Source organism: Homo sapiens, chromosome 3 (genome assembly GCF_000001405.40).
Source record: "Homo sapiens chromosome 3, GRCh38.p14 Primary Assembly".
NCBI lineage: Eukaryota > Metazoa > Chordata > Mammalia > Primates > Hominidae > Homo > Homo sapiens.
The window spans coordinates 127,807,799-127,820,949 of NC_000003.12; the positions used below are offsets into that span (position 1 = coordinate 127,807,799).

The 13,151-nt window shown below is 48.1% G+C and overlaps 1 protein-coding gene across 10 annotated transcripts in view, besides 1 other annotated feature; it reads right to left on the reverse strand.

The window, feature by feature from the left end:
* The window catches only part of MGLL (monoglyceride lipase), a 134,120-nt gene that overhangs the window by 118,733 nt on the left and 2,236 nt on the right, over positions 1-13,151 (reverse strand). The gene's annotated exons all lie outside the window — the stretch shown is intronic.
* Positions 9,549-10,748: an enhancer, noted in NCBI's record as "MED14-independent group 3 enhancer chr3:127536190-127537389 (GRCh37/hg19 assembly coordinates)". NCBI's record gives its function as "activates an origin of replication core promoter dependent on BRD2, BRD4, P300/CBP and CDK7 cofactors, and independent of MED14, by STARR-seq in HCT116 cells {active_cell/tissue: HCT116}" and the evidence as "EXISTENCE:reporter gene assay evidence [ECO:0000049][PMID:35650434]".

The window sequence follows — 13,151 nt, forward strand, 5'->3', positions numbered from 1 at the left end:
TTGCCCAGGCTGGAGTGCAGTGGCGTAATCTCGGCTCACTGCAAGCTCCGCCTCCTGGGTTCACGCCATTCTCCTGCCTCAGCCTCCTGAGTAGCTGGGACTACAGGTGCCCACCACCATACCCAGCTAATTTTTTGTATTTTAGTAGGGATGCGATTTCACCATGTTAGTCAGGATGGTCTCGATCTCCTGACCTCGTGATCCACCCGCCTCGGCCTCCCAAAGTGCTGAGATTACAGGCGTGAGCCACCATGCCTGGACGAAAACTCTTTTTTTCTCTGCTCCAGAGTCTAGCTTTCTTATCAAAAATTTTGTCTACAACCTCCAACATGACCATAGCCCCCAATGTGACCATTTCCAGATCTATGATGATTCTTTCAGTTGTGACAGAAAGTGATTCCCATGCTTATTGGTTTATGTGATTGTTAGGCTCAGTACTGTTAGGTTTGATTCAAGGGGTCTGGCAACATGACCAGGAACTGGTTTCTCTTTCAACACTTCTTAGCTTTGCTTTCTTAAGGTAGATTCCATTCTTGGTCAGACTTCCCCCTTGCAGTCTTAAAATGGTTGCCAGAGTGCCCAGGGTTCACACTTCTAGAGTCAACTTCAGAGGAGAAAAGTGACAGTTTCCTTCCCAAAAGTCCCAGGGGAAGTCTTATTGATCACTGACTTGCACTGGGTACTTGCCCATCCCTGAACCAATCACTGTAGCTGGGGAGAATGTAAAATGATGATAGGCTAAACTTGTTGCAAGATCAACCTCTCACCAGGGTGGAGTCAACACCAACAGAAACACATGGGCTGAAAGTAGAGGAGAGATGCCTCTTAAATTTAAGGCACTGTGGGTGGAAGAAGGAAATGGATACTGGGGAGGCAACCAACCAATGCCTACTCAGGCTCCAAGCTCATCTCCCACTATTCTCCAACATCAGCCTCTCTTCTCCTGCTCATTCCTGCCTCCAGTGCCTCTACTTAGTCTGGACATGTGCCTAGGATTCCTTTCCTCCTTCTCATTCATGCTCCTCCATATCTGTCTTGGGCCATTTTTAGACTCAGTTCAAGCATCAGCAGCCCAAACACTCACCACCATTTGGATCTTCCATCATTTGGATCCATCTGGCTGAAAGAATCAGAACATACCTGGTGGTTGAGACACATCGGTGTGGATTTTTGTATTATCAAGGTATATTTATAGGCAGATCCAAGGTTGGCTCAGCTGTTCCATCAAGGACCCAGATTTTCCCAGCTTTCTTCATCACTCTCTGTTAGCATGTTAGCCTTGCCATCTCATGACTACAAGATGGCTACTGTAGCTGCAAGCACTATGCCCACAAAGGCAGAATGTAGGGAGTGAGGGGAATTGGGGCAGAGAGAGAGATCAATCTTCTCATCTTGCTCTCTCTTACCTTTTATCATGGAGCTAATATCCTCCAGAAACGTCTTCTGTGTCTCATTAGCCATCACCAAGTCCTATAGCCAGCTCTAGCTGCAATGCCACTGGGAGAGGAGAATGGGAGAGCCATGTCTGATTAAGACCAATCATGAGGCCAGGTGTGGTGGCTCACACCTGGAATACCAGCACTTTTGGAGGCTGAGGAGATAGGATCATTTGAGCCTGGGAATTTGTGACATGCCTGGGCAACATAGTGAGATCCTGTGTCTGCAAAAAATTTAAAAATTGTCTGGGTATGGTGGCAAGTGCCTGTAGTCCCAGGTACTCAGGAGGCTGAGGTGGGAGGATCACCTGAGCCCAGGAGTTGGAGACTGCAGTGAGCTATGATTGAGCCAACACACTCTAGCCTGGGTGACAGAGCAAAGCCCTGTCTCTTAAAACAACAATAAAAAAAAAAAAGACTAATGAGTGATATCCCTGAGGACAAAAATCAGCAAGAAAGAAGTGAGGATGGCCACAGTTCTCTGCACAGTACCCTTACTCTGCAATGACAGAGTTCATTCCTGGCATGCTCCCATGATGTGCTGGCTCTGCCCTTGAGCCAGGTGGCCTGTGGGGCTTGCTGAGACTAGATGGTCTTGGACAAAAGACATCAAGGCAAAGGATAAACCAACAGCAACTTCATGCAGGCTGGGGCATCCACCACGGAACCACAGAGAAGTACGGATGTGAAAGGGTGAGATCCTTGTCCAATTCTAGACATTTAGCCACATAAAACCTTTGCAGGAATTTCTCTGTTGCTCTGAATGGACTAGACTGTAAACAATTACCAACCCACATGGCCCCTGACTCTATCATGGTTCCCAGCACAGCCTATACAATGAAGCCCAAATTCCTTAGCAAGTCAAAATGGTCATTGCCAACTGAACTGAGTGCACAAAGGAAAGGCCACACGAGGACACAGAAAGAAGGTTGGTATCTGTGAGCCAAAGAGAGAGGCTTCAGGAGAAATCAACCCTGTTGACGCCTTGATCTTGGACTTCTAGGCTCCAAAACTGCAAGAAAATTAATTTCTGTTGTTGAAGACCCCCAGTCTGTGGTATTTTGTTATAGTGGTCCCAGCAGAGTAGACAACAGCCATTCCAATGCAGGCTCCTGAGCCAGCCATTCCAAACTTACATTCTGCCATGCACTTCGGACTCCAGTTTCCAAATAATCCTTGTTATTTTCAGAGCACACTGTATCCTCTCTCACTTCCATGCCTGTGAGAGTGTGATTCCCTTCGGCCCAGAATGTCCCTTTCTACCTTCAAGATCCAGCTGAAAGTCACCAAACGTCCCTCTGAAATCCCAACACAGAATCCACAGCCTTCACAAGACAACATCCATGGTGTATGGCACTGCCTCCCTGACAAATGCATGGAGATGCCTTCAAAGGCAGGAGCAGGGCAACTTCATTTCTTTATCTCCAAACTGGAATGAGACCTGGCATACACGAGGTGTTCAGCAAGAGCTAGTGCCATGGAGAGGTCAGAAGTGAAAGGGGCCACGTCTCCATGCTGTTTGTGGACCCTCCTTTGCTGTCCAGCACAGTACTGAGTTTACATCTGGAGCTCAATTAATACCTGTTGAACCATTCCCCCACCCAATCAAAAAAGGAAGCAAACCCTCCAGATTCTGACATCCACAGCAACTTCTGTGCTAAAATGGAAAACACCTGCCATACTGTAACTCCCACTCGTAGATGCATTTCACACAGAGTTTTACAGCAAAGCTAACCAAACTGGTGAAAGTACAGCCATCCAGTATCTCAAGGGGTAACCTGCAGGGAATATTCTTCTTCTAGGTGTCACTAACTCCTTCGGTGATACTTCTGGATTTAGGTGCTCCTTTCCTGCACAAAAGGTTAATGCCTTGAAGCCATACTCAACAGAAATGCTTATATTCTTTTCCTGCAAAACTGTGGCAGTAGAGACTTCAGGAATCATCCTCTCTCAGTCATCCCACTGTAAATATGAGGAACTTGAATCATCCATGCAACAAACGTGTTTTGATCCCTTATTTTGTGCCAGGTATGAAACTCTACAAGAGGCATGTGTTGGAGAAGATAGAAAAAAGCTAAACATGAATTCTGCCCTGGAGAAGCTCATAGGTTGTTCTACTCTTGCAAGATGCAAACTATCCCAGAGTTATAGCAAAAGAAAAAACTTCTGGGAACTTGCTGGAGAGTCTAGAGCTGGTACCTTGTCTAAAGTTACTCAGAGGCAGAGGTAGTAATAAGACTTCAACCCTCGTCCCAACTATTAATACAAATATATTTTCCCCCATGCAACAGATTTCAAAAATGACCACAAAATATTCTCTCCTCCATCCTTGCTCCTTGGACATGCCTTCACATACTGCCTCTGGGCTGGCCTCCTGATGTGCTTTGGCCAGTGGGACATTCACAAACATGATACAGGAGAGACTTCAAAAGCACTTGCATACTGGCATCTGTTCTCATTGCTCTTGAAAAACTGCCACCTTAATAACAGATCCAGGCCAGTCTGAGAAAGCATGATAAACCACATGGACAAGAACTGAGGTGATCCCACCAACAGCCTGCCAACACCAGATGTGGTAAAGCCATCCAAGACTGGCAAGCCTCTAGCTGGCCTGCCAGTGCCTGCTGATCCACAACTGACCATTGATACATGCAGGAGCCCAGCTGGGAGCAACAGAAGACCCATCCAGCTGAGCCCAGCACTAATTGCGAACCCACAGAATCATGGGCTGAGTAACAGCAATAGATTCCTAACATACCCCAGACTATCCTGCCCACTCTGGATCTAGCACATGGCCCTTGTAGTAACAGTCTCACTCTCTGCAGCAGAAACATTTCTACCAACCATGATAACGTAATCAGGACGAAAGGAAAAACATATGCCAAAGACTGGAATACCTTAAGACATGGACCACTGAAAATTGACTGGATGCTCTAAGGAAGGCTTATTTAAGTTGACTTCCAGCTATAATAGCTAAGGGTTGTTTGGTTCTCCTTCCAGTCAAGAGTTATGCCACAAATCCTGTACTGCATTCCACATAAAAGAAAAGTGTTGAGCTACCCTTATTATGTGTTATCTCAAAAAGAAGTTCACACCAAAGGCTGGCTTCCTTGTGGCTTTCTTGTTTTGTTTACTTTTAAAAGAAGCACCCAGCAACTGCAGAAGTTTATCAGGGAGCCTGAAATCTCCTTGACATGGAACTGAGTTTCATTTGAAGAAACAAAAAAGTTAAGAAAAAAAAGGTGAGTAACCTGAGGCCTGGGGAAAGCCTGTGGCCTGGTGTGGTGAGGGCAGCAGTCAGGCTGGAATCTGTCAAAAGCATGATTGCTTTCATACTGGGTCCTCTGTGACTGGCGCTTGCCATGAGGGTGGAGGGAAGTAAGGGGTAACGGTGGGCAATCAACAAGCCTGGCACAGGTCCGCAGAGTCCCCAGAACGATGGTGCAGGGAGATGAAGCGGACAAAGGAATCAAGAGAGTTCACGTTGACCCCTCAGGGAGCCCACATTTCTCTCTTACCTGCACCAGCCATGTGGGAAAGGTGCTATTAGTCCTCATTTTAAAGATGAGAAAACTGCTGCAGTGATGGGTCAGTAGCGTCTCTGGAGGCCCATACCTGGCTGGTGTTGATCGGGGTGTGGTCCTGGCAGTCCTGTCCCAGGACCTCTGCTCTTCTGCATGCACCATTGGCTTTTGCTGTTCAGAGAGGCTATGTTTCCCTGAAACACGTCTCTTCAAGATTGACGGAAGAGGATAAACAGAGGGGAACTTCTAAAACGTCTAAAGACAGCAATTTCCTAACTAAAGGTTTTTAATCTCTAATCCAGTAGACTGTCAATGACCTGGGAAAATTGACATGCCTTGACAAGGAGACATTAACCAGAGGCTGTATGTGGCCGCCTGTGCAGTTTTTTTGTGCCCTTCCATCTCTTTCCCTTTTCATTCTTTTTTCCCCTGCTTCCCTCCTTTTTGTTTGGGGCCCCCTCATAAGAGTCTGCCACTTTCTTCCGACTCTTGTTCTCCCAGAGGCCTCCTGGGCTCCTGTTCCTCCCACAGTTTCTCCCCTCCTCCCACCTATCTCCTGGCTGCTCTAAGTAGGTCTCTGGCCATCTCTTCTGAGGTCCATCTGCACTTATTAGCAGCCTCGGCGGGCATCACTTAGGTGCCCACATACTTCTAACCACTGTCAACAGACCCAGCAAAATGGAGGCTGGCCAAATGGCTTCCCATGGGAGACAGGGGTCTGGTACCTCTCCAAGCCCTGCTCCAAACCGGACATTTGCTGGGGAGGGCTAACTTGTAGTTTAAATTGATCAGAAGAAGGCATAAGGGAAACTTCTGGATGAAAAGCCTGAAGCAGAAGCAACGTGTGATCAGGAGGCTGCCCTGCAGCCCTGAGCCAGTCCTGTGGCAGCCTGAGAAACTCCTTTCATCCCCTGGGCCTCAGTCTTTCCATCTATGAAATGATGAGGGTGACACAGGACTCCCGGGTCATTGACCCCCATTTTGAGAGTCTGGTGGAGCCTATGATCCATCTTCCTTTCCTAGAAAAGTGTACATACCCCTTTGATGTCAAAAGCCCCACACTCTAACCCCCAAAAACTATCCATGAACCTCCTGCAAGTCCCCAAGGTCAGGGACAGCTGCTGATCTCTAAAGATACCTTACTGCTCAGTCTGTTGTTTTCCTCCTCTTCATTCTCTCCTCTATCCTTCCTCCTCCTTATTTTTCCCCTTCCCCTCTTCTCTTCTTCCTTTCTTCTCTCCCTCCTTCCTTCCTTCCTTCTTTCCTTCCTTCCTTTCCTCCCTGCCTCCCTCCCACTCTCCCTTCCTCTCTTCAGAATGTTGCTAGAGCTGTGACTCCCTGGAAGGTGAGGCATACCTTCTCATCACCATATACAAGAGACTTTGCGGAACATCAAGCATGGGAATAAATGGTCAGCATTAGCCCGGGAGAGAGGCATGTTAGCAGATGGACACAAAGGTCAACTTGGGGCAGCTGCAAGTGTAGGAACACACAACACACAGCTCTTCTTATAGCCCTCAAACACACAGAGAACAATGTCACCCCGTTTCACTCGCTGACCACCGCAGCATCCCCACCCCCATCCCCTAATGAACAAGGCTGTGTGAAATGAAAAGAAACTCCTACCAACAAGAATCTTGGATGACCCTGCAATATGGGACAAGGGTCATCTTGTCATCTCAGCTGTAAAAATTTGCACCAGTAAAGACCATTTCCTCCGTGTATACAATGACCAATAGTTTGGTTTGCATTCATGGACAAAGTGCATCTGGGATTAAGATCTAAACCTAAAAGGTGCCAATAAATAGACAATGGTGGACAAAGGTTGCTATTCAGGGAGCAGCTTATTCTGCTATTTTTTTTCTTCGACTCTACTGCAAAACAAAGCCAGATTTGTATCAGCAGAACATTCTTACAGCAACTGGAAGAAATTATCCCTTAAAGAAGCTGTTGGAAAACTCAACTGCAAGAATAGCAGCTGGCCTTGCCTCTTGCCATCAAAAGATCTTTGCTATTTGAAGAGTATTTTTAAAAAGCCCAGAAGAAATGCCCTGTTTAAAAATAAAACAATTTGCTACGCTATCACAAAGGCAGAAGCATCAGAAGGAGAAATAACAGCTTCATACAAGAAAAACAAACTTCTGGAAATTCTTAAAATGGACTACTTAAAAGGTGCTACTAAAATGCAATAATCTGACTAAAAATAATGTCATTGCTAGAAGATGCATGGTAGGGCCCATTTTCTCAGAGTTTAAGAGTAAATTTTATGGAACAACAGACATATGTCAAAGGTGCTTCACTTTTTTTTCCTCCTTGTGGGGAGAGGGTGTAAGCTGATTCCTTCCTTACCTTCAGCAGAGTCACTCGTGATTCATATTGATTGATATTGTAACTGGTGACGTCTGAAATGTAATCAGTTCGTTGGCCACTGCTCCTTCTCCTCACTCCCCTCCTGGCTTATCCCATGGCTGTGTCAACAAATGACCCGCAGCTTGCGATGATCCCATGCATCCTCCTTGCCACACAGCAGCCCCACCGTGTTCCGAGCAAAGAATACATTAAAGGTGTGTGCTGTGAAGGAGAATCCCACATTCCCACACCCTCAATAACACCAGCTCCTTCTGCCATCACTCCAGAGACACCTGGGAGTCACCCTCCTTCTCCCTCTGCTGCCCATGCATCCTCAGGTACAGTCCATGTTCATCTCTCCATCTCCTGCTAACACGCGGTGCTACGTCTTTGCCATGACGCGGCCTTCTTTGCCTTGCGCCTATATTACTATGAACCTCTCCATCTAGCTGGTTATTTGGATACAAAGCTGGGGCCCCTACACCCACCCTTTGGCTCATGCTTTTGTGTTTGGGTCCTCTCCCCCACGTGCCCTTTCCGAGGGTGGAACACCATCCAGGACACAGGACAGAAGGGCAAGTAGGAGCTGCGACCCAGCCCACACTCTGCTCACCAACTCATGGGGCAGCCTCTGCCCAGTGGGCACCTCTGTCTAATTTGCACAAAGGCTCTGCGTGGCATAGCAGCAGCCCTGCCTCTAGGTCCTGGCTGCATCATATTATAATTATCCGTGTGTTGGTCCATCCCACCCCTTCATCAGATGCATGATCTTTGCCACCCTTTCCCCACCCTGGCGCCCAAGGACCATGTAGACGTCAATAAGGAAGTATTTGCTGAATGAATCGCTGCTTTGGATCCTGGGAGAGGAGAGCAAGGAGCCGTATGGGGTAGCCACAGAGCTGCATGCGAGGGGCGCTGAGCAGGAGCCAGGCCGTCCTCACCCCTGCAGAGACTGACAGAGTGGGGTTCAAAATGGCCACTTGAAGGGACAATAAGCTGTGTGATTTAGCTGACCCCAGGGAGCATCTGCGCTAAACCAGCTGGCTGGTGATGCGGGAACACCTAGTCGCAGGTGGCGTGAGTTCAGAAGGGCTACAGGGTTCAGCAGCTGCGGCCTGGGGAGATGGAAATTCACACTCCCTTCTACACTCAAAGATGAAAACAGGACCTGCAGAAGGTTTCCTGGAACACTGAACAAACACCCAAAGCAGGGGGTGGGGGAAAGAAAGCACTCAACAGCCGGCTGACAACCTGATTAGAAAACCTAAGGGCGGGGAAGGAAAAGCCAGTCCCACCTTTGAGGACAAAGTCTCAGGAAGGCCGTGGGGATGGAATTATGTGCAAGCAAATGGTGAAAATTGTTCACCTCCGGATGGATCCAGATGGCTGGGAGGGGCCCTTATTTCCCAGAGCCACAGGTGCCACACCCGTGTCTGGCTGGGGGCTGATGTGAGGAGGATATTACGAGGACGCAAGAAGGGGGGATGTTCTCTATCACTTAAATCTACCCAGGCCTCAGGGCATGGCCTCTCCTCCAGGTAAACTGGCATAGATGGGGGAAGTGCCCGAGGATGGCACTGCCCATTGCTGTAGACACACACAGAGAGTGAAGGCTTCATGGAGAAAGGGGTCAACATGGGCCTAGAACGGGAGGGCTGTGATGGGGACCATCACTGAGCCCCACTCCCGGGAGCAAGGGAAGGAACTGCAGGAGGGAGGAGCCCTGTCTTATTGGTTCTAGATCCACTGAAAGCGGCCACAGTTCTGAGGACTTGGGCAGGTTCCAGAAACAATGCCAAATCTCCCTTGCTAGTCCATCCACGGCCTGTGTTCCCCTTGCAGCACCTAGCTCCATGTCACCGACGGGAAAATCCTGAAAACCATGCAGGCTGCACCCTGGCCCCGAGGCAGCTCAGACCGGTGGAGCTGGCCAGGTGGGAGAGGAGGGAGCCATGGTGAGGGGTGACTACAAAGTTCCTGGAGAGAAAAGCCACGTGACCGAGGTCTGAGGCAAGAAAGGACTAGAAGGCAAGGCCAGTAAGGTTCAGAGAAAGGGCTTATGTTCCAGAAGGTCTCCATAAATGCAGGGGAATTTGGAACAAAATGCTAAACAGAGATTTAAAGGAGGAGGCACTTACTGGAGGTGTGAGGGCAGGGCTCTGGAGGAAGTGGGGAGGGCTGGCCTCCCAGTCGTGTGTCTTGGGACATCAGCGAGGGAGGGACAATCACACTTTAAGCCAGTTCCTTCAATACACCAGTTTTTATCATCATAACAGAAGCTACAGAAAAGAAAGTGGGCCAGCTCTCCAGAGTTGAGGGGCTGCCAGGAAGGCCAAGTGGCATGAGCCGGTGGATGGACTAGCACTGAGGAAAGATGAGAGTGAGATGTGTCCACTCGGTAACCCTCTACTCAGCACCTCCTTCATGCCGGGCCTTGCAGATGAACAGCAAATATGGTCTGCTCCATGCCTTGAACTCACTGCCTGGCAGGGGTCAGAGTTGTACAATCATATAATTACAGCCTGCTCTCCAGCCTTCCTGGTCATCCAGTGTCAAATGAGGATATTTTTGGAGTCTAAGTCATCATATTGCACAATGTTTTCAGACCGCACCCTTCCCTCACCTGAGCTCATGGGTAAGGAATTCTCACAGTTAACTTCTAGACGTCTTTCTATGGACTGAGAGCCACTTGGTTGGCTGAATACAAAGGTGCTAAATATTTCTCAAAGGGGCACAAGAGAAACTGTGACTTCCTAGCTCAAGAGCCCACAAAGCGGCTTGCCCCCATCCATGGGCCAGTCTCCATCGCCGTGCTGATAGCATCAGTGGACATTTGCTCATGATCCAGTATCCCCCCCTTTTTCTTTTTTTGAGATGGAGTCTTGCTCTGTCACCCAGGCTGGAGTGCAGTGGTGCGATCTCCGCTCACTGCAACCTCTGCATCCTGGGTTCAAGCGATTCTCCTGCCTCAGCCTCCCGAGTAGCGGGGGCTACAGGCGTCTGCCACCACACCCCGGTAATTTTTTGTATTTTTAGTAGAGAGGGAGTTTCACCACTTTTGGCCAGGCTGGTCTCGAACTCCTGGCCTCAAGTGATCCACCCGCCTCAGCCTCCCGATGTGTTGGGATTATAGGCGTGAGCCACTGCACCCGGCCAATATTTTTAAGTTCCAGCATGTTGAATTGGATAAGGCAGCCAGTCAGGCAAGGGCATAAATTCTGTTTTTTGTTATTGTTGTTGTTGTTTTCAGAAGGGATACCTATCTCTAATCTTTTTTTTTTTTTAAGAGACAGAATTTCAACACGTTGCCCAGGCTGGTCTCAAACTCCTGGTCTCAAGGAATTTCCCGCCTCTGTCTTCTGAGTTTCTGGGGCTACAGATGTGTACCACGGAACCCAGCTGATTTCCCACCTTTGATATATTATGAGCAAACGATTAGGGAGAATTAATTATTCTCTTCCTCTTTACCCTAGGAAATGATGTTTACCCTAACCCAAAATGTAAGAATTTATCAGGAAAACACTACCTATAAAGAAGAAATCTGTCCTGCTTGGTGGTGTAAGGAGAACAATTGGATTTGGTCCATGTCAGAAGATTGCGGACCAAATCCCACTACTGCCAGCAGGGTCATTTGGAGAAAGATACTTTGTAACATTGGACCTCTGTTTCCTCATCTGTAAAATGGGAATAGTAAGAATAATAATACTTGTCTCACAGATTGATGTGAAGGTAAAATGAGGTCATGTGTGCACAGAATCTAGTCCAGACCCTAGAACATACCTGGCACTCAATTAATATGAGATAATTGTGCCATGCCTTAAGTATAAGATTTGTTATTACCGTAAACACTACAGCATGAATTTGCCTTGGTACTGCCAAATGGAGGTTTAAGTTCTGATTCCTGATGATGAAATACGGAGACTCTGGCCTGCTACGTTAAAAACAGCACTGATGGTAAAGGCTAACCCAAGACATGCTTTCTCTTTCTCAGGGTCCAGTCCGAGGAGGCTGGTGTTTATACGACAGAATTTGCTTGCATAAAGCGGGTTAAGCCAGGTTCCCAGTGCAGCGGCTGACACCTGTGGCTTAGTGTTGCTCCGAGCCACCTGCAGAGCCAGTCTTGGAACCCAGCAGGTCCTCTGGGGGCAATATGTCTCTGTAGGTGCTCACGGCAGGCTCCAGGAGCTGGAGGTAACTGGTTGGCCAGAAAATCTACCCAAACCAGTACTGACTAACCGAGGCTGGCACAGATCCTTCTGCATAATAAGATATCCACAGGCCCCCGGGGTGGCTTCTGAGGTCCCTAGGGTCTCTATGAGAAAGATAGCAGAGGCGGGGCTGGAGATGAGGTGCTCTTAACCCAGGTTTTGCCCACAGTTGGTACAGTAGTGGGGGAGGGTTCAGTCTCCTCTTTTTTTGCCCCTTGCTTTTCCTCCCTTCTTTCTTCCTAACTGGGAGGAGACAGGATTGCACAAAGCGAGGCCCTAGTTTTGCTGAAGAGGGGTAAAAAGCCTGGGGGGAAAGATTGAAGCCCTGGTGACTTGAGGTCCCCTCCCTCTTCCTAAAAGCAGAGTGAATGATTCTGTGCAGGCAATAATAATAATACTTATTATAATGATGCTGCGGGGGTCTCCCAGATCATGCAAGAGGGCAGGCAGGCTGAGCAGCTGGTCTCGGTTATGAAGATACAGAGGTGTTTCATGCTGGCTGGCACAAACCTCTGCCCTGAGCCCCCACCCTAGGACCCCCAAGACTGCCCCAAGATCCAGCAAGCACAGGGTTAACATGAGTCATGGCAAGGGGCCTCCAGGACCTCTGCATCATCTCCAGGGGCTGGAGGCAGGGCAGGACAGGTAGGTAGGACCTTGGCCAGCCCCTTCCTCTTTGGTAAACTGAGGATAACACTATGGAAAGTGTTCATACATGCTCATGGTTCTGTTGCTCTTTCTATTTCAGTGCTCCTGCCCTCAATATTTTTTTCCCTTAACCTTTTCTAGACCCATAGGTTTCTTCCAAATTCTGGGGCCGAACTGCCTCAACCATCCACCTCTGTTCTTAAGCCCATCAGCACCCACCACAAGGCGGACGCTGACATCCAAGAGGCAGCTCAGTTTAAATTAAGAAGTTGAGTTATCATCTCTAACTAGAGCAAAAGCAACGGAGCAGAGAGGGCTCCCTGCAATGCAACTTCAGCACAGAGATTGTGAAAACCACCCGCAGGCGAAGGGAGGGCAGGGCAGCCAACTTGACCGTTTCTAACCCACTCACCCACCACCCTCCCCCTGTGCCAGGACTGCAGAACCTCTTTATTTTTGTTGACTTCGAACTAGGACAACCTCACTACTTAACCAACAAAGCCCCCCAAGTCTGAGACTCAGACATTAAAAACTTCTATTTTCAATTATTTGTCTTCTTTCTGTATATTGATCAAATTACCACAAACCACTAATCTGTTAGAAATTAATCCAAGATTGAGCAATTCTACAGCCAGTTAAGTCAGAGTGGAGAATTAATGATTAATTAGCATCATAATGCTCAACAACCCCCCCACTTCCTCTAATGCGTATGCACGTACAGACACATTCTTTAAGAAATGTATTACCAGAACTGGTAGGAACTCTTCTCAGCACGTTACCCACTTGAAAACACTAGAGAGAAACCATAGCCAGTCTGTGTAGCTGCCCTGAAGCTATGACTCTATGCCGGGTTTTAAAAGTCCATATCTCTGTGTTTTTAACGTGCAGCTCCCTGGATCATAGATACCTTGATGAAGACAGAGAAGAAATTTTACACCTGTGTGAGGGTTGGGTGATTACTGGAGCACAAAGAGAGACATAATCCA